The 20,238-nt window shown below is 54.5% G+C and overlaps 1 protein-coding gene across 3 annotated transcripts in view, besides 7 other annotated features; it reads right to left on the bottom strand.

Annotated features, from left to right (window-relative positions):
- Positions 2,717-3,216: an enhancer, noted in NCBI's record as "H3K4me1 hESC enhancer chr1:15760169-15760668 (GRCh37/hg19 assembly coordinates)". NCBI's record gives its function as "activates a minimal SCP1, AML or CMV promoter by ChIP-STARR-seq in naive H9 embryonic stem cells {active_cell/tissue: H9 hESC(naive)}" and the evidence as "EXISTENCE:reporter gene assay evidence [ECO:0000049][PMID:30033119]".
- Positions 5,877-6,377: an enhancer, noted in NCBI's record as "H3K4me1 hESC enhancer chr1:15757008-15757508 (GRCh37/hg19 assembly coordinates)". NCBI's record gives its function as "activates a minimal SCP1, AML or CMV promoter by ChIP-STARR-seq in primed H9 embryonic stem cells {active_cell/tissue: H9 hESC(primed)}" and the evidence as "EXISTENCE:reporter gene assay evidence [ECO:0000049][PMID:30033119]".
- EFHD2 (EF-hand domain family member D2) overlaps positions 6,550-20,238 on the bottom strand; it is a 20,452-nt gene continuing 6,763 nt past the window's right edge. Inside the window, exons 2-4 of one of the 3 annotated variants that reach the window (NM_024329.6) lie at positions 10,871-11,018; positions 9,605-9,739; positions 6,550-8,296 (exon numbers count right to left, since the gene is read on the bottom strand). In NM_024329.6, the coding sequence (NP_077305.2) occupies positions 8,165-8,296; positions 9,605-9,739; positions 10,871-11,018 (415 nt within the window). In that variant the 3' untranslated portion in view covers positions 6,550-8,164. Of the gene's footprint in view, positions 8,297-9,604; positions 9,740-10,238; positions 10,585-10,870; positions 11,019-20,238 lie in introns of those variants that run through there. The other 2 variants (XM_005246000.4, XM_047430233.1) reach the window with 2 other exon arrangements.
- Positions 9,030-9,928: an enhancer, noted in NCBI's record as "H3K4me1 hESC enhancer chr1:15753457-15754355 (GRCh37/hg19 assembly coordinates)". NCBI's record gives its function as "activates a minimal SCP1, AML or CMV promoter by ChIP-STARR-seq in naive H9 embryonic stem cells {active_cell/tissue: H9 hESC(naive)}" and the evidence as "EXISTENCE:reporter gene assay evidence [ECO:0000049][PMID:30033119]".
- Positions 9,929-10,829: an enhancer, noted in NCBI's record as "H3K4me1 hESC enhancer chr1:15752556-15753456 (GRCh37/hg19 assembly coordinates)". NCBI's record gives its function as "activates a minimal SCP1, AML or CMV promoter by ChIP-STARR-seq in naive H9 embryonic stem cells {active_cell/tissue: H9 hESC(naive)}" and the evidence as "EXISTENCE:reporter gene assay evidence [ECO:0000049][PMID:30033119]".
- Positions 18,575-18,694: a silencer, noted in NCBI's record as "silent region_303". NCBI's record gives its function as "represses an Ori minimal core promoter by ATAC-STARR-seq in GM12878 lymphoblastoid cells {active_cell/tissue: GM12878}" and the evidence as "EXISTENCE:reporter gene assay evidence [ECO:0000049][PMID:35858748]".
- Positions 19,582-19,876: a silencer, noted in NCBI's record as "tiled region #12140; HepG2 Repressive non-DNase unmatched - State 10:DNaseD, and K562 Repressive DNase matched - State 5:Enh". NCBI's record gives its function as "represses a minimal TATA promoter and a strong SV40 promoter by Sharpr-MPRA in HepG2 and K562 cells {active_cell/tissue: HepG2 | K562}" and the evidence as "EXISTENCE:reporter gene assay evidence [ECO:0000049][PMID:27701403]".
- Positions 20,083-20,238: part of an enhancer, noted in NCBI's record as "H3K4me1 hESC enhancer chr1:15742803-15743302 (GRCh37/hg19 assembly coordinates)", that runs on past the window's edge. NCBI's record gives its function as "activates a minimal SCP1, AML or CMV promoter by ChIP-STARR-seq in naive H9 embryonic stem cells {active_cell/tissue: H9 hESC(naive)}" and the evidence as "EXISTENCE:reporter gene assay evidence [ECO:0000049][PMID:30033119]".

Raw genomic sequence — 20,238 nt, 5'->3', positions numbered from 1 at the left:
CGCCCCAAGGCCTGGCCTCAGCCTGGTTGGTTAGATTCTGTCTTTCGTTTCCCCTCTACTCATACTGAGCTCCCCTTGAAGGTCATTTTCTGAGCTGGGCCTACTGGCCACCTTAGGAATTCCTTCCTGATAGAAAAGTTCAGAGCACTACGCACCCCGCCATTCATAGCGGTGATCTGGGGGTGAAGGAGGATTCTAACTTACACTTTTTTTTTTTGAGAGTCTTGCTCTGTGGCCCAGGCTGGAGTGCAGTGGTGCGATCTCAGCTCACTGCAACCTCCACCCCTGGGTTCAAGCAATTCTGCTTCCTCAGCCTCGCGAGTAGCTGGGATTATAGATGTCCACCACCATGCCCGGCTAATTTTTGTATTTTTAGTGGAGACCGGATTTCACCATGTTGGCCAGGCTGGTTTGTTTATTTATTTATTTATTTTTTGAGATGGAGTTGGAGTCTCGCTCTGTCGCCCAGGCTGGAGTGCAGTGGTGCGATCTTGGCTCACTGCAACCTCTGCCTCCCAGGTTCAAGCAATTCTCCTACCTTACTTAGTCTCCTGAGTAGCCGGGACCAGTGCCACTGGCTAATTTTTGTTCCTTTTGTAGAGACGGGGTTTCACCACGTTGGCCAGGCTGGTCTCGAACTCCTGACCTCAAGTGATCCACTCACATAGGCCTCCCAAAGTGCTAGGATTACAGGTGTGAGCCACCATGCCTGGCCTCTAACTACACATTTTTATGCAGCTTAAATTCTTTTTTAAAACAAACATAGTTACCTTGGTAGTATAAAAATCAATAGGTTTAATTTTTTAAGAAAGATAAAAGTGGGAATGTGCACTGGGGGCTCTGCTCAGCTATGGTGACATCAAGGCCTCAGTCCTGGGGTGTCTGGGGACTTCAGCCTGCGGGGAATTTTCTGTTTCATTTTGGAGGTTGGTTGTGCATGATACAGGTTTATCAGTGGCTACTGGCCAGTCTGCTTCAGACCCAGGGCTTTTGGTTGCCAAGCCTTGCAAAGGGTCATTCTAGCCTGGAAACTGGGAACATAAGCAGAGATATGGCTTGAGCTAGGTGATAGGTCTTGGAAATTAGCAGGGTCTGAAGCGGGGAGACAGGACACCTGGTTTCCATCTCAGTGACAGAATGGATGACCCAGACCCTGAGCAACCTCTTTGAGCCTCAGTTTCTCTCATGTCCCTTGATCAACTTGGGAAAATGAATTAACTGGGCGTCTCCTTGTAGGAGCTCATCAATTTATACTCAGAGATACAGCAACTTGTTAGCACGCATCTCAGCTGTGTATACATGCCCATGGATTCACAAGTATACGTGGACAGGCGACGCACACACGCACATACACACACACGCACACACACATGCACACACACATGCACACACATGCACACATGCACACACGCACACAAACACATGGACACACACGCACACACACATGCACACAATGCACACACCCACGCGCACACATGCACACACAAACATACACACACATATGCACACATGCACACACGCACACACACACATGCACACACACGCTCCTCCACGTCCACAAATATGCACACACCAATGATATAATACATATAAAGCATTCGGTTATGTGTAGAGCCAAGCAGAGCCATGGGCCACCCATTCAAACATGTACACAAACATAGAAATAGCCAAATGGATTGATGATGAGGTCCCAGGTGAAGAGAGTTATTGTCAGCTCTTTGAAGGTTCACAGAGAAACTGACCTTTTTGGAGGGAGGTTGCTGGCTGCTCAGCTATAGGGAAACTTGCTTGTTTTGAGACATCTACAGGGAGGGACCTTTTATGTAAGGCAGCACCAAACAATTGTCCCTGGAGAAAACCGAGGTCGCCCTTAATCTGTTTCAGATGCTGAAGACAGGATGTTGAGTGCTTTGCTTAGGGTTGAACTAAACCCACCACTATTGCTTCATAGCTCTATGGCCTTATGCTTGTGACGCAACCTCTCTGTGCTTCCTCGTTTATAAAGTGAGAGTGAAAACGGTACCTTTGGCCGGGCACGGTGGCTCATGCCTGTAATCCCAGCACTCTGGGAGGCTGAGGTGGGCAGATCACCTGAGGTCGGGAGTTCAAGACCAGCCTGGCCAACATGGTGAAACCCTGTCTGTACAAAAATACAAAAATTAGCCGGGCATGATGGTGGGTGCCTATAATCCCAGCTACTCGGGAGGCTGAGGCAGGAGAATTGCCTGAACCCGGGAGGCGGAGGTTGCAGTGAGCCGAGGTCGTGCCATTGCACTCCAGCCTGGGTGACTGAGCAAGACTCCGTCTCAAAAAAATAAAAAGAAAAAGAAAGAAAATGGTACCTCCCTCCTAGGGCTGTTGGAAGAAGTGCCTGGCATATGGCAAGGACGGTCTAAATGTTTGCTATTACTATTATTATTGTTGTTATCTGGTTCTTATGAGAAAGCTTGAGACTGGACTTGGTCACTGAGTACTTTTGCCTTCATGGGCCCCTTTCTCCATTTAAAAAATATTAAAAACTGGCTGGGCATGGTGGCTCGTGCCTGTAATCCCAGCTACTCAGGAGGCTGAGGTGAGAGGATCCCTTGAGGCCAAGAGTTCAAGACCAGCCTGGGCAACATGGCGAGACCCCTGACTCTAAAAGAATTTAAAAAATTACCTGGGTGTGGTGGCACATGCCTGTAGTCCCAGATACTCTAGAGGCTGAGGTGGGAGGACTACTTGAGGCCAGGAATTTGAGGCTGCAGTAAGCTATGATCATGCTACTGCATTCTAGCCTGGGTGACATAGAGAGACCCCAACTCCAAAAAATAAAACATAAAAAAATGAAAAATTATGTTTCCTTAAAAAAAATAATAAAAATTATGTTTTATTGTATGGTGATAACACTGAATATAATCCAGTTTGGATCCTTTTCATTTTTTTTCTTACTGATTTTAAAAAAATCAAAACATTTTGTGGGCCTCTAAAGGTGTCATGGGCTCCAGGCCCTGTGGCCCCTCCTTCCGTGAGGTTCTAGACGACCCAAGGGCTGAGACAGAGAGAGTTTGGGGAATGGTCTATGGCTCTCCCTGAGCACCCTCTCCAGGCCCTGGAGGTGCCTTTAGCTTTGTCCCAGGGCAGCCAGGAGAAATTTGTTCTTGCTGGAAAAGGTGGACAGGCGTAGGAGCTGCCTCTGGGCACGTGCATGGCTGGCACCAGCCCCTCCTGACTCCAGGCCTGGTGCAGGGAGCAGCCAGTCAGGCGACACCATGATCCCAGTGGCTCAAACTGCCTAAGTTATGGTGGTGACGCTGGGTTGGCTGACCTGATTTTCTGGCCTTGATCACCGAGACTGAAGAAGTACCCCAGAGGGGGCCTATGGATATCGGCTGACGGAAGCCCTGGGAGGGTGGATTTCTGCGATGGGAGGGGTCAGGGCTTGAAGTTGGATTAACTTGCATATTTATTTATTCATTGAGGCAGACTCTTACTCTGTCGTCCAGGCTGGAATACAATGGCACAATCTCGGCTCACTGCAATCTCTGCTTTCTGAGTTTAAGTGATTCTTGTGCCTCAGCCTCCTGAGTAGCTGGGGGTACAGGCACGAGCCACCATGCCCGGCTAATTTTTGTATTTTTAGTAGAGACAGGGTTTCACCATGTTGGCCAGGCTGGTCTCGAACTCCTGACCTCAAGTGATCCGTCCACCTCGGCCTCCCAAAGTGCTGAGATTATAGGCATGAGCCACCCCGCCTGACCTAACTTGCATATTTAAAGAAGTGACTGTTTTGTTTGCCCAGGCTGTGAGTCACTGACATACCATATGTCATACACAGAAACATAACATACACAGAAAACATTCATTCACTCACTTATTCATTCACTCATTCATTCCTCCCACATTCACGGAGCAACTACTGTGTGCAGGCCCCATGATAGGATTGGGTATAGAGATAATAAGACCCGTTCAGCCATGGGGAGCTCCCTGCTGGACATGGGGAGTGTTCCTTGGAGATAGTCTCCCTTGGAGAGATGGGCCAAGGGCGTGGAGTTCTGCATGAGAAGAGACTGGTTCTGGTGGGAGCCTGATGGGGGCAGGCAGGGAAAGGATTCCTTCCGTACAGAGTCCATGTCCAGATGAATCTGAGGCCTCGAGGGTGAGAGAATGCCAGAATCCGCCCCCTGCCCCATTGCTGGACCCTGGGATTTTTCAGGAGGTGGAGTGTGTCTCCCAGGACCCAGGACCTCAAAGTCCTTGAGCCACTTGGGGCCAGACTGTGCTGGAAAAATAACCAGGGGCGACTTGGCAGAGGCACGTGGAAAGGGGTGGTGGTCAGGTGGTGCTCTGGGCCTCAGGAGGAGCAATGCCAAGGTGGGGGTGGGGCGGGATAAGAGCTTGAGAAAAGAGGCAGGTGTCACTGACAGGGCTGGGATTTTCTGGCCGCTGGGACAGGACTCTCGGGCGGCAGCTGTTACGTCTTGGGTGAGGCCCACTAAGGGGCCAGCTGAGGGGCTGGCAGGGCTTCGCCTCCAAGCCAGATGGAAGCACTGGGGGTTAGAGAGGGTTGTGGGGCCCAATGCGGGGTTGGCGTTCAGCGAGGGGTTAACAGTTCAGAGAGAGGGGCTGGGGGTTCCATGGGGATTTGGAGCTGGGACTCAGTGCAAGGAGGCTTAATGAGAGGAGGGAACCTGGGAGTTGTTTTTGTTTGTTTGTTTGTTTGTTTTGTTTCTTTTAAGCGACAGCGTCTTGCTCTGTCACTCAGGCTGGAGTGCAGTGGCACAATCATAGCTCACTGCAGCCTTGAACTCCTGGGCTTAAGTGATCCTCCTCCTGAGCTTCCTGAGTAGCTGCCCAGCTAGTTTTAATTTTTTTTCTAGAGACGAGGTCTCGCTATGTTGCCCAGGCTAGTCTTGAACTACTGGACTCAAGTGATCCTCCTGCCTCGGCCTCCCAAATTGCTGGAATTATAGGCATGGGACACTGTGTCCAGCCCTGGGAGGGTTTTAAGGAGCCCTCTCTCTTGGTCCTAGGATCACTCCAGGTCCCTTCCCTCCTCAACCTGCTTTCTCTGCCAGAGCTGGGAGTGGGGGTCTTGTGCAGACCCAGGCTGGGGGCTCCTGACAGGCTGAGACCCTTGGTGGAGGGCCCTGGCATGACACAGCTGGCCCTGGTCTCTCATGGTCCAAGGACTCGAGGCCCACTGCCATCACCATCAGGAGCTTCCTTTTCAGTATGATTTGTTATTATATTTTGTAGAGATCGGGTCTCACTATGTTGCCCAGACTGGTCTTGAATTCCTGGCTTCAAGTGATCCTTCTACCTCGGCCTCCCAACGTGCTGGGATTACAGGTGTGAGCCACCATGCCCTCTTTCAGCGTCCCCGTCCCTTCTCCCCGAAGCCCTTTCCAGCAGGATATCAGGGATGTGGATGTTCCTCTCTTGGGGAAGGGGTTTTGAAAGGCAGTGTGGAACTGAAAGTCTCAAGTTGGTGGTGGCGTACAGTGGCGTCTCAGGCCCTGGGTAGCATGTGGGGATGACACTGCCTTCCCCAGGCATCCCGGTTGCTGTAGTACCATCCCTGGCCACCTGGGGGCAGCGATGCCCTGCCTAATCCAAACTCCAGCTCCCACACCCTGCCTGGGAAGACCCCAGACCCTCGCCCACCCTCGCATGGAATAGATGGGGAGACTGAGACCCAGTGGGGGCCTGATCTGTCTAAAGCCACACACAGACAGCCGCTGGTGTCCGCCCCATCACTCCTGGGGTTTTCCAGCCTGTGAAAGACTTTGGGTGTCTCCATGGCAGGGGTGCTTGGGGGTCTCTGGGGTGCACAAGCCATAACTCCCAGGGCCTTAATGCCACTGCCGGCCACTGTGTGGCCTTGTGGAGAGGCAGCCCCTCCTCTCTGCTCACCTGGCAGGTTTGCGAGCCATGACCTCGACAGCCTGGGCCCTGCCTCTTGCCGCCCCACTCGCCTGTGTGTCTCTGGGAGACTTTCCAGGCCTGTTTTTTTGTTTTGTTTTGTTTTGTTTTTTGAGGCAGAATCTCTCTTTGTCACCCAGGCTGGAGTGCGGTGGCGCAATCTTGGCTCACTGCAACCTCCGCCTCCTGGGTTCAAGCAATTCTCCTGCCTCAGCCTCCCGAGTAGCTGGGATTACAGGCGTGTGCCACCACGCCCGGCTAATTTTTATATTTTTGGTAGAGACGAGGTTCCACCATGTTGGCCAGGCTGGTCTCGAACTCCTGACCTCAGGTGATCCACCCGCCTCGGCCGACCGAAGTGCTGGGATTACAGGTGTGAGCCACCACGCCCAGCCGCCTCCCTGTTCTTATCTGCAAAAGAGGAATAAAAATATCATCCCTTGCATGGGCTGGTTGCAAGGATTTAAATGAGTTAATAGGCACAAAGCACCTAGACTCATGCCTGGTGACAGCATCTGGGCATAAAACACCAACCTCCTCCACTAGGGCAGGTCCCCTTCCCTCCCAGGCTCTGACACCACTGTCCCCACACCCAGGTGACCTTGTCATTTCCCTGCCCACTCACCATCAAGAACCATACACACATAAGAATATAGAATTTTATCTTCCTTTAGTTAAAAAAAATAATCGTACCACGGAATGAAGAAGTAGCTTTTTTGGGGGGTGGGGTCGGGGAGAAGGGAAGGTGAGAAGGGGGGGAAAAAAGAAGCAAAAAGCCCAAAGAAAAAAACATTTTATATTCATCTGTATAAACATATCCGCTAAGGCAAACGCAATCCGGGTCCGAGGCTGCTGCGCTGGGCTCGGTGCCTCCTAATTTCTGCAGATTCTAAGGCCAAAAAATAAAACCTCTGCAAGTCCGCGTAGCTTCCAGGACTCCTGGGCATTTTACTAAAATAAAGAGTTATCGAGTTTAAAAAGCAGTGACGTCGTTATGACACACACTGAAAGTTGCATAACTGTGGCCTCGAGGGCCACTCACTTGTTTGGACTGAGTGATGGTCACAGTTTCACGACACAGCAACAGACACCACACACAGGCACACGCATGTCAGCAAGCACGTGGGAAGCTGTGGCAGAACCCGGCCGGTGGCCTGGGCCTGACCACGGCCTGTCTGGTGCAGGGCACCAGGGTGTTAGGGTCCCCATGCTTCCTCAGGGGGTGGGCATGACAGGCAGGTCGCTGGTGACAAGGCAGTGGACGTCACTTGGGGAAGGATGGCGGGAGAGGGCTGGACAGGCCCCCGCTGCCCACCGCCTGGCGCATGCAAACACACTTAAAGCACTTCTCGGAGGCTTCTCGGAGAATCAAGGCGAAGCGCTCGTCTCCTTCCCTAGGAAGGTGCCAATTCTTCCTCCCGCCCCACTCTCTCCAGAGCCCCGAGACCCTCAGGGTGTTCTGGCTGGGGGTGCTAAGCAGCGGTGTCTCCGACCCCCAGAGCCTTCCCTGCCCATGATCCCACGGCATGCCCGGCAGGGGGTGGGCCTGTGAGGTAGATTGGCACAGCTGCCCCCACACCCTGCCTGGCTGGGCCCCAGAGATCTGGGGTTCTCCAAGTCAGCATGGGGTGCTGGGGGCCTGCCCGGGTCCCTTCACCAGAACAGAAGCTCCCCACCCCCTCTCCCATTTCAGTAGATGGAAGACGCAGAGGAGGAAAAGGCCCTGGGGAGGGGTCCCCTCGTGCCTCCAATTAGCCCCTTGGGTCCCACTCTGTGGGGGCAGCCCTGATTCTATCTCTTCTGCCGTCTCCCAGCCTGGGAAGGGGCTGGCAGGGGGCCCCAGGGGCGGTGCGGCCTGCTGGAGGAGGGCAGGGGTTCCCGGGTTGGGGGGACAGGGATGTGTGGAGGGCAGGCGGCAGGCACATGGGGCTGGGAGGGACCTAGGGCCAGGAGCTGGGCCTGGGGCAGTGCCGGAGCAGGCAGGGGGCAGTTAGGGGTGCAAGAGAGCCCAGGGATTGCCAGGGAGGGCCGGGCCGGGCAGGGAGCCAGCGCCGGTGTGGCGGCCTCGTGCAGAGTGGAAGGGAGCGGGGAGGGGCCGGGCCACCTCCATAAGACCCCTGAACTTGCTCCATTCACAGATATTTTTAGGTTTTTAGTAGTGGTCCCGTCAGACACAGGCAAGGATTCAGGCTCGGCCTCCCATGCGCCACCCTCGCCCACCACACTGGGGCCGGAGCAGGGCGGTCGGCTGCAGCCCCCGCTACTTAAAGGTGGACTGCAGCTCCTTGAAGGCCGCTTTCCGCTGCTTCATCTCCTCCGCCTGCTTCTTCCTTTCCTCCTGCTCTGCCTTGATCTCCTCCTCGAAGCGGCTGGACACGTTGATGGCCTGGACCTGCGGGGGCATGGGGGTGAGGGGGTCAGGGCTGGATGGTGTATGTTGGGGGTTCTCTGTGCTACAGCTGCTTTTTCTTTTTTCTTTAATTTTTCTGAGACAAAGTCTCGCTCTGTCGCCCAGGCTGGAGTGCGATGGCGCAATCTTGGCTCACTGCAACCTCTGCCTTCCAGGTTCAAGCAATTCTCCTGCCTCAGCCTCTTGAGTAGCTGGGATTATGGGTGCCCTCCACCATGCCCGGCTAATTTTGGTGTTTTTAGTAGAGATGGGGTTTCACCATGTTGGCCATGTTAGCTGATCTCGAACTCCTGACCTCAGGTGATCCACCCGCCTCAGCCTCCCAAAGTGCTGGGATGACAGGTGTGAGCCACTGCGCCCGGCCTTATGACTGCTTTTCCTGGGGTCCCTTCTGGCTCAGGCTTCTGCTGAGTCCTGCCCAGCAACACAAACAGCTTGACCTCACCAGCTCTGGCCCTGGGTCAGGCACTTCATTCACCTTCCTGAGCCTCAGTTTCCTCACTTAGAACCTGGCACCCAATAACTCTGATCTTAGGGAGTTGTTGAGAGGATTGAAATAGAGAACCTATATTCTGTGGCTGCTGCAAAGCAAGGGCGCTCGAAGGGAGTCGCTCAAGCTGCTGCCATCCTGATCCTCTGCTTCCTGTCCGGGGAGCCCAGCGGCACACCCAGTTCCACTGATGAACCCTGAAAAGTTCCACCAATGCTCCGAAGCCCAGAGGGTGGTGGGAGGCAGTCTCTGGAAGGAATGTTCTTAGCAAGGAAAGAGAGAAACAAGGCGGGAGAGCTGGGGCCCCGGGTGGGCAGGACCCAGGAGCCACTAGATCACAGGTGTCTCCTCCATCTGAGAACCTGCTGAAAGGGGAGGGTGTCATGCATGCAGGTGGTCTCTGAGCCCGCAGGCTTCCTCCTAGGCTGGGGCTGGTGGGATTGGTGTCTACCGGGGACCCTGGAGAGCCAGTGCTGTGTTTCTGGGCCTGCCCTCCTAAGGCCCAGTCCTCTGTGTTAGCAGCTCTGTGTGCCAGGGCCAGGGCACCTCAAGGTAATCCCTGTCCCCTTTTCAAGAGTACACCCCCCTCACCCACCCCCTTGGCGGCTGCCAAGGATCTCAGCCAGGAGTGGGAGAAGACAGAAGACAGAGCGTGTGGGCCTGGCCCAGCCTGGCAGGGAGTCAGCTCCCATCTCTGTCTGCAGCCTCAGCAGGGACGGGAAGGGGACCTATTAACTTCGCACCAACCCAGGGTCCCCTTGTCCTGGAGCGTGGGTCAGGGCACCCCTTGGGCTCCTCACCTTGGCCTCAAAGAAGCTCTTGGCCCCCTTGACACCCTCACTGGAGACGTCGATCTCAGAGAGGCGGGCCAGCACGCACAGCCCGCTGTCCTCCTGAAGCTCCCCGGCCGCCGCCTTGCGGAAGATCAGGAGGAACTGCAGCGGGGAGGGAGGCGCGCGGTGTCAGGAAGGGAGGGAAGGAGGGGAGCCGGAGTCCCTGGCCGCACCCAGGCCCCAGCCTCAGGCCTCCCCTGCAGAGAAGGACTGGGGGGCAGTGAGCTGGGTCTCGCCCCTTGCTGCTCCCGTGAGCCCCTTCACTGGGCCTCTGCCCAACTGTACAATGGGAGGAGATATGACTCATCTGCCACCCAGGATGCTGGCCTACTGCAGCCCTGACCCGCCCACACCAGCTCCCGACGACACGGCCTCAGCCTACCTCTTACCTCTGTCTCCCGCTGTTGCCCAGTGAACCTACTCTGCGTTCCATGTATTGAGTCCTACAGGTGTCATGACAGAATGAGGGAGCCTCCATGACAGTAAAAGACACCCCAAGTCTCAGCGCCTGAACGTGTCAGAGGGATGGAACCCTGCTCTCGAACTCTAAGCTGTTACCCTGCACTGCCCACACCTCCCGCCCAGCCACTCGCACTCCCCCACCTGCCCCTGCCACCTCTCTCCTTCCCTGCATCCTTCATGCTTCCTGCCAGACCTCCTGGGCCCCAGTTGGGCCTCGAGTCCCCACACCTAACCCTGTGCTTCCTGGGGTCCATCCCTGTACTTCCTGGGGTCCAGTATCATCGCTGTCTGGCTTGGGCCTCCATTTCCTTCCCTGCGAAACCGGCTTGCCCCTAGCTCCTGTCTCGGAGTGAGATCCTGGGCGTGAAGTCACCCAGTGCCGTGGCCCTCTTCCTCTGCATCACAGCCCTGATTTCCTTCTGTGGTGTCTCCCCCTCTACACTTCCAGGAACCTTCGAGCACAGGGCCTTTCTCTACCCCAGAGCCTGCACAGGGTCAAGTATACAGAAATCGCTCAATATATGCTCCCTATGTGAAGGAAGGGCTGTCCCTCCCTCCTCTTCCTCCCCGAGAGGATCTCAGAACCCTCCCTGGTGCCTGCTGTAACAGGCCCTCTGAAGCCTCACTCAGCCAAGCAGCAGCTGCTCACAGCTGCTGTTCAATGGCAATGTCATTCATTCATTGACAAAGGGTGGGGGTTGGTCTCTCCCGGGCCACCAGGTCCTCAGGTGAAGCCCCTGGTAGGGGAGTGGGGCTGGGGGCCGGGCTTACCTCCCGGAAGCTCAGCTTGCTGTCAAAGTCCTCATCCACCTCCTTGATCATGTTTTTCAGGCCCAGGTGGGTCTGAGGGGCCCCAAGTTTCTCCATCATGAGTTTTAGCTCCATCAGGTCGATGAAGCCGTCCCGCCCGGCATCATACCTGCAGATGCAAAAAGAGAGGACATCTTGGCACTGGCTCAGTCAGAGAGGCCGCAGGCTTGAGTGCAAGGAGACTGGGGGATCAGAGGGCATCTCCTACCAACCATAAAATCCCGTCACTGTTGGAAGGGACCTCAGTCCAGGCAGAGGACCCATATGTGGCTCAGCTCCTGCTTGGTTACCTCTGATGACGGGGAACTCACCACAGGGCCTGGCAGCCTCCTGCATGTCGAATAGCGCTAACTTTTGGACAAGCCTGAGGCACAAGGAAGCTGAAATGACAGGCTCCGTGTGCTGAATGTGATGGCACAGACAGTGAGAAGGAATTCTCTGGGTTTTTTTTTTTTGAGATGGAGTCTCGCTCCGTTGCCCAGGCTCGAGTGCAGTGGCTCAATCTCGGCTCGCTGCAGCCTCCGCCTCCCGGGTTCAAGTGATTCTCCTGCCTCAGCCTCTTGAGTAGCTGGGACTACAGGCATGCACCACCACACCCAGCTAATTTTTGTGTTTTTAGTAGAGACAGTGTTTCACCATGCTGGCCAGGCTGGTCTTGAACTCCTGACCTCAAGTGATCCACCCACCTCGGCCTCCCAAAGTATGGGGATTACAGGCATGAGCCACCGTGCCTGGCCGAGAAGGAATTCTCAATACCACGGCAGGGTGGATCAGGCTCTGAGCTGAGCACTCACTCACCACCTCCATGACCAGCTGGCTTACTGGCATCTCCATGGGCACTTGGAGGACATCTCACCCCCACCCTAGATGGCAGAACCTTGCAGGCAAGGGCATGGTTTCTCAACCTCAGACCTTAAACAATCTGGACAGAACAAATCCTTGCCGTAGGGGCTGTCCTGTGCATTGTGGGATGTTTATAGTAGCATCCCTCCTGAGTTGTGACAGCTAAAAATGTCTCCCAGACATTGTCGAATGTCCCCAGCAGGATAAAAGCATTCTCCGCTGAGAAGCACTGGAATAGGGGATGTGACGTGGGTGTGGAAGGCGGCCTCTTTCCATGTGATAAATGACTCTTCTTACTCAGCACCCTCTGTACTGGGGGGTCTATTTCATGCCCCCCAGCTTGCCCTAGGTACTGGGAAGGAGGTTAAAAAGCACACAGTAGGTGCTCAAAAATGTGTAATGAAGAAATAAGACGTGAATAAATGAAGGGGTATCTAAGGCAGGGCCTCTGCCTTTGTCGAGGGCACAGAGCAGGACGGGGGCAGGAGGCAGGGCCAGGTGGCAGGAGGCAGCCTGGGTGTGTTCAGGGACGTGTGGTGCAGTGCCTGCAGGGAGTGGCGGAGATTGGCGGGGTGGTGGGGAAGCCGGGAACAAGCATCGGGCGATAGAGATGCCTCCCCTCTGCCCTGCACTCTCAGGTTCTCTTTTTTTCTACCACTAACAACCTGGCAGAGACAGGGGTGGGGTTGGGGGCAAGTCCCTCTTGACTGGCTTCTGTGTAGTAAGAGTCTAGGTGGCCTTTCTGCCTGTTGCCTGGCTGGGAAGGCACCACTGGTTCCTGGAGCACACAGCCTGGTGAAAGAGGGCGAGGCGCTGTTTGCCCAGCTGGGCTCTCTTATCAACCAAACACCTGCCCTACTGGTCTCTGGGAACAGCGTAGGAGGAAGACAAGATGGGGGCTGGGGAGAGTGATCCCAGAGTTGGTAACATGGGTTTTTCTTTTTTTTTTTTTTCTTTTTGAGACGGGGTGTTGCTCTGTTACCCAGGCGCGATCACAGCTTACTGCAGCCTCTACCTCCTGGGCTCAAGCGATCCTCCCGCCTCAGCCTCCCAAGTAGCTGGGACTGCAGGTGCATGCCACCATGACTGGCCAAGTTTTGTATTTTTTTTGTAGAGACGGGGTGTCAATATGTTGCCCAGGCTGGTCTCAAACTCCTGGGCTCAAGCAATCCTCCTACATCAGCCTCCCAGAGTGCTGGAATTACAGGCGTGCACCACTTTGCCCAGCCAAAATGGGTTTTTCTGCACCTAAAGAAGGCTTGTGCAGTCCCCCAGGCCTTGAACTGGCTGGGTGACAGTGCTGGTGACAGCAGCGCAACACAGGTGGATGTGTTCCAGAACCCTATGTCCCGGGCGCTTGAGCTTCTGCATGAATATGTCTCATTTCTGCACCTTCTTACGGGCTCCCCAGCTCCTTTCGCCTTCTCTAGTTAGGTGTACTTTGAACACCTAATAGCAACCATGTACTGAGATCTGTCTTTATGCTGGGAACTGCTTACTTTACTTAATTTTCCTAATAACCTTATTTTATGACCAAGGCTCAGAGAGGTTAAGTGACCCACCCACAGTCACACAGCAGTAAGGAAGGAGCTGGGCTTCCAGACTTGATCTGCTGGGCTCATAAACTTGCACATTTGCTCTGTACCCAGCCCCTCCCCAACGTGTCCTGGGGCTGCTGCAGAACACAGACGGCTGCCTGGAGCACAAGGGGAGCATTTGTGCGAGGGGTATAAATAGTTCACGAGCCAGTGAGTCAGTGGTTGAAAGTGACACAGCAAAGATGGGTCTTGGGAGCCCTGGAGGGAACACAGGGTCCTGCGGCTTCTGCCCCACTGATGGATGAGGGTTGGGGTGGAGGTGGATGGGCCAGCAGCCCCTGTGGGCAGTGGCCACCTCTGTGACAGTAGAAGGTGTGGGACTCAGAGGGTCAGGCAGGCCAAAGCTGCTGTGGTCCAGCCTCCACCTGGAGCTGGAGGGGTTCTGGGGGGCACAGCGGAGGCGCCTCCTGCCATCTCTGGTCCCTGTTTGCTGCCTGGTAGAGGGCTGGGCGGGCGCCACATGACCGTGGGGCTGTGCAGGAGCACCTGGTGAGGGACTCAGTCTTTCCTGAGCCAAGTCACGAGGACTCCCCTCCTCAGTGCCCCCCAGGAAAGCAAAGCCCTGCCGCTTTCTGACCCTGGGCTCCCAAGGTCAGCGATGACAGTCAGGCTCTGAAGCCAAATTGCCTGGGCTCCTCAGCCACAAAATGCAGCATCTCTTTTTATTTTTATTTTTTTGAGACGGAGTCTCGCTCTGTCGCCCAGGCTGGAGTGCAGTGGCGCAATCTTGGCTCACTGCAAGCTCTGCCTCCTGGGTTCACTCCATTCTCCTGCCTCAGCCTCCTGAGTAGCTGCGACTACAGGTGCCCGCCACCACGCTCGGCTAATTTTTTGTATTTTTAGTAGAGATGGGGTTTCACCGTGTTAGCCAGGATGGTTTCGATCTCCTGACCTCATGATCCGTCCGCCTCGGCCTCCCAAAGTGCTGAGATTACAGGTGTGAGCCACCGCACCTGGCCAAAATGCAGCATCTCTTAAGCTGGGGTGCATGTGCCCCCCAGGAGACATCTGGCAATGTCTAGAGGTGTTTTTGGTTGTCATACCTGGGGCGGCGGAGGTGGGGGGGATGCCAGTGGCATCTGGTGGGTGGAGGCCAGGGAAGCTCCTATAGCGCATAGGGTGGCCCCACCGCAAAGAATGACCTGGCCAGCTGGGCACGGTGGCTCACGCCTATAATCCCAGCGCTTTGGGAGGCTGAGGCAGGCAGATCATGAGGTCAGGAGATCAAGACCATCCTGGCCAACATGGTGAAACCCTGTCTCTATTAAAAATACACAAATTAGCTGGGCATGGTGGCAGGCACCTGTAATCCCTGCTACTTGGGAGGCTGAGGCAGGAGAATCACTTAAACACAGGAGGTGGAGGTTGCAATGAGCTGAGATGGCACCACTGCACTCCAGCCTGGGCGACAAAGCAAGACTCTGTCTCAAAAAAAAAAAAAAAAAAAAAAAAATGGAATGACCTGGCCCCAAGTGCCAGTGGAGCTGAGGCTGAGAACCCTGCTGCAATGGGGCCTCTCTCATGGGCCACTGTGAGGAACGACTGAGCCCATCCCTGTCAAGCACTCAGCACAGCTCCCAGCGCACAGAGCTAGCTGCATAAATGGCAGTCACCACCGCTAAAACAAGATTGAATCACCGTCACTAAACTCCCAACGCACCAGCACTTTCTCTTTACAATCCCTGTGCTCAGCAATCCTCCAGGTCCGGATTAGGTCAGGAGGGCTGTTGGTGAGGCCACAGGTCCCATAACCAGCAGGTCAGGGGTTCACGCCCCAGCCCCTGGGTCCCACGTGTCTCTCCCTGAGCCCCAGCTTTATTTATTGCTCAAGTGCATGGGTTTCTTCTGCAGCCAGGGGCAGCTCAGTTTCAGAGGAAGTGCAGATAAAGTGTCCAAACTTGGATGGAAACGTGGGCTGTGGATCCCTCTGTCTTTGGCAGCTCCCAGGCCTGGCTGGGCTGTGGCTCAAACCATGATTTGAACGGCCGCCTCTATCAATCAAAGGCCAATCAATTACTGGGGCTGGGCTCCATCCAGGGCAGGCTCTGGCCCCCAGGGGGACAATACAGGGGCTGGCTGCGGTGCCAAAGAGTCCATCACCAAGAGGAGGTGACGGGGGCTGCGAGAGGCCAGGTGCTGGGGTGGGCGGTGAAGCCCCCAGAGGTAGCCGTGGAGGAGGCCATTCCCAAGAGACTCCTGGAGAGTGGCCATCTGCCCTGTGCCCTGGGCTCTGATGTGGTCTAGTGCAGGGGATCAGCCAGGTTCCAGGGTCAACCTGATTGAAGATGGCCTTGAGGGTTTGTGGTTACATCAACTCCGCTGAGACTGACCTGGGTCCAAACCCCAGCTCTGCCACCTGCTGGCAGAGTGACCTGGTCAAGTCACCTAACCCCACAGACCTCAATTTCCTCATCTACATCATGGAGATCAAAGAACTCATCTCAGGATGGAGGCAAGGATTAAAAGAGACGATACAAGCAGACTCTTGGCACAGAGCCTGGTCCACAGGAAGCACTTCATACATGCCTACTATGATACTAAAAACCAGTTATTATTATTCCTAACATCTACCTTTAAGATTATTAAAGAGTAAATGAGGCTGGACGTGGTGGCTCATGTCTATAATGCCAGCACTTTGGGAGGCTGAGGATCACTTGAGCCCAGGAGTTTCAGACCAGCTTGGGCAAGATAGGGAGACCACATCTCTATAAAAAAATAAAGGGCCAGGTGCGGTGGCTCATGCCTGTAATCCCAGCATTTTGGGAGGCTGAGGCAGGCGGATCACGAGGTCAGGAGTTCGAGACCAGCCTGACCAACATGGTAAAACTCCGTCTCTACTAAAAGTGTAGAAATTAGCCAGGCATGGTGGCACGCACCTGTAATTCCAGCTACTCAGGAAGCTGAGTCAGGAGAATTGCTTGAACCCAGGAGATGGAGGTTGCAGTGAGCTGAGATCATGCCACTGCACTCCAGCCTGGGTGACAAAGTGAGACACTGTCTCAAAAAATAAATAAATAAATAAATAAATAATTAGCTGGGCGTGGTGGTGTATGCCTCTGGTCCCAGCTACTAGGGAGGCTGTGGTGGGAGGATCACTTTAGCCCGGGAGGTTGAGGCTGCAGTGAGCCCTGATCGAGCCACTGCTCTTCAGCCTGGGCAACAGAGTGAGACCTTGTTTAAAAGACAAACAAACACAAAAAAGAAAATGAAAATGAGCTGACAGATATAAAATGCCTGGCACATAGTGAGTCCTTCAAACCTGTTAATTTCATCATCATCGTAATAGTAGTTGTTATATTGAGAAGTTTGTGTGTGTCACATATGCACATCATATACTTCACATATACAATATAAAAAGGGTGATGATATTAGAAATAATGATAAAAAACACACTGGCTTCTGCCACAGGCTCCAGTCCTGACTGGTGGTACAGGGTTGGGAGGCAGGGCTTGTGGTGGCTTGGCCTGGAGGCAGGGGTGGACATGATGACCCAGGGGATCCCTCCAGCATGACCTCTCCTCTAAAGGCCCACTTTTCCCCTACTAGGCCCGACGCAAAGCCCCAGCATCTCTGGGAGGTAGGAAGACAGAAGACCGCTGGACAGAGCCCTTGAACAGGGAGAGAGGAGCCTCAGGGAGCGAGGAACCTTCCCTCGGGGTTGGAGAAAAGTGAGGAAGGGGCTACTCTCATGGTGCCAATGTGTGTGTGGGACAACTGGCAGCACAGGAGAGAACGAGGTTCCACGATGGCTGGAAACAGGCATCTCCTGGGCTAGAGGGCCTCTCACCCACCAGCCCTTCTCCCTGAGCTGGAACTGAGGTTGCAGCTGGCTTAGAGGATCCAGAAAAAGAGAGATCAGCCCGCAAGATCCACCCAGATAGCCTGGTCTACCCGTTTTACATTATGTAGGGAAACTGGGGCCCACAGTGGGCAGTGACTGGCCCAGGGTCACACAGCCAGCAGACTGCAGGATTCCAACAGCTGGAAGTTTTTCTCCTCCCTGGCCCCTCTCTTTTTCCTGGTCCCATGGAGGGTCCCACATTCTCAAGCTTGCAGGGCCAGTGGAGGCTGGACTGAGAGCCCAGCTTGGTGCCTGTTTGGGAAGGCCAATGCCATTCGGCAGTACTGGCAGAAAGCGCCCAGCCTGGGAGCTCAGCACTTTTCTCCAGCACCGGAGGGAGGCTGCGGGGCCTGGCACCGTGCCCGCATTCCTATCTGCCTCCCCTTGAATAGTTCTCGTCAGGGAGGGCTCAGCAGCTAGCTGCACCCTGGATGCTGGGGACAAAATCCCCATCCATCCCCCTCTCGAAAGCGGAGCAGCCAGTTACCCCCCAAGGACGACCCTTTCCCTTTGGGGTGAGCATGGTCCCCAGCTGGTTGCTTCCCTGCCCCTGCCCCTCTCCCCAGTTCTGATAACTAGGGAGTCACAGGGGTAGGCAGTGGAGGCGTCAACCATGCACAGTGCAGATGTCCCAGCCTTGCACCCAGGTGAGCCCCACGTCATAATCTATCATCATTCCTGGCTACTCTGCTGAGCACTTGCTATGTGCCAGGCACGATGCCAGGTGTTTTGCATCAGATTCTCACAAGAAGCCTATGAAGCGGCATGAACATGAACCGACAAGGAGACTGAGGCTCAGAGGGGAAGCGACTTAGCCCAGGTCATAGGTGACAAGGGTGTCGCTGGGCTCTGAACCAGGCCTGATCAAACACATGCACTCTTAACGACTATGCTATGCCCTGATGCCTATCAGGACACAGCAGAGAACTTCGGGGTTGGGAGGGATATTAGAGGCCATCTTATTCAGTCGTTCCTGAAAATCAGATTCCTGATGCAGTTCGTTGTTTAGTGCCTTGAATACCTCTGAGGACAGGAAGCTCATTGCTTACTTAAGGGGGGGCCTATCTTGGCTTTGGAACTATTAGAAAGTTGCGGCCGGGTGCCGTGGCTCCCGCCTGTAATCCCAGCACTTTGGGAGGCCAAGGCGGGCGGATCACAAGGTCAGGAGATTGAGACCATCCTGGCTAACACGGTGAAACCCCGTCTCTACTAAAAATACAAAAAATTAGCCGGGCGTGATGGTGGGCGCCTGTAGTCCCAGCTACTCGGGAGGCTGAGGCAGGAGAATGGCGTGAACCCAGGAGGCGGAGCTTGCAGTGAGCCGAGATCGCGCCACTGCACTCCAGCCTGGGTGACAGAGCGAGACTCCATCTCAAAAAAAAAAAAAAAAAAAAAAAAGTTGCTCCTCGACCAGGTGCAGTGGCTCACGCCTGTAATCTCAGCACTTTGGGAGGCCGAGGCGGGCAGATCACTTGAGGCCAGGAGTTTGAGACCAGCTTGGCCAACATGGTGAAACCCTGTCTCTACTAAGAATACAAAAATTAACTGGGTGTGGTGGTGCATGCCTGTAATCCCAGCTACTAGGGAGGCTGAGGCAGAAGAATTGTTTGAACCCGGGAGGCGGAGGCTGCAGTGAGCCAAGATTGTGCCACTGCACTCCAGCCTGGGTGACAGAGCAAGACTCTGTCTCAAAAAAAAAAAAAAAAAAAAAAAAAAGAAAAAGAAAGAAAGTTGCTCCTCGTGCAGGTGCCCCCAAGCTGCACTGCACAGTCTGATGGCAGAAGGAAGCAGAGTCATTGCAAAAACTGCACACGGGAAGGTGGGAGCACAGGGACCCCAATTCTGTCTCTCCTGACTCCCATCCCAGGCTTTACTGATGGCCGCTCTGGGCGTGCAGGTCCCAGGAGAACAGACAATTGGACAGGGTGGGTGTTGGGTATGGGCTCAGGAGCCCTCAGGCCCCCCTGGCTTCCCCAGTTCCTGCATGTCCCCACCCCCAGACTGCCTGACTCATATAGGGAAAGCCCAGCGCTCACCACTTCCTCTAGTCCTATCTGGGAATCTCACACTTGATCTCTTGCCCTAGTTCAGCTAAGTGGGGTATGGGGTTGGGGGAGAAAGAGAGAGAGAGAGAGACGGAGAGATAGAGAGCACATAAGTGTGGCGCTTGGGGCTCCCCCACGGAGGATAAAGAGGGAGACCCCAAGCAATTTGCTGGGGGGCTGTCAGGGCTCAAAGGCATCCTAACCTGGAGTTCAACAACCTCACACCGCACCCACGGCACTCCCTGCCAGCCACCCCCTTTCGCTTCTTGCTCTTCATAGTCATTATTGTTATGATAGTGATTATAAAGAATATTTATTGAATGCCTAATATTAACATAACCCAGTGTTTATAACGTAACTTAATCTTTACTCCATACATCTTATCCTCTTACAGCTCAGACAAAGTCACCCACCTAAGGATAACCTTAGGTCAACCTCAGGAAGTGGTGGGGAGACGGCTGTGCGGGGGCCTGAGCCGAGGCTTAGCGCTTCTTAAACGTCAGTGTGCACACCTGGTGAAGCTGGTTACAGTGCGGATTATGGGCTGGGCGTGGTGGCTCATGCCTGTAATCCCTGCACTTTGGGAGGATGAGGTGGGAGGGTGGCTTGGGGCCAGGAGTTTGAGACCAGTCTGAGCAACATAATGAGACCCCATCTCTACAAAAATAAAAAAAAATTAGCTGGATGTGGTGGCATGTGCCTGTAGTCCCAGCTACTCAGGAGGCTGAGGTGGGAGGATCACTTAAGCCCAGGAAGTTGAGGCTGCAGTGAGCTATGATCGTACCACTGCACTTGGTCTGAGTGACAGAGCAAGACTCTGTCTCTTAAAAAAAAAAATTGCAGATTACAGTCTGGTAAATCTGGGGTGGAATCTGAGCATCTGCATTTCTAACATACTCCCGGGCGGTGAAGCTGCTGGTGTTTGGGCCACTGTAAGGGTTCAGAGGACTTGGAGCCGGGGAGGCCCAGGTTCAAATCCTATTCTGCCCCTCACTGGCTATG

Source organism: Homo sapiens, chromosome 1 (assembly GCF_000001405.40).
Source record: "Homo sapiens chromosome 1, GRCh38.p14 Primary Assembly".
In the NCBI taxonomy this organism is placed as follows: Eukaryota; Metazoa; Chordata; class Mammalia; order Primates; family Hominidae; genus Homo; species Homo sapiens.
This window is presented reverse-complemented; position numbering and strand designations above follow the sequence as displayed.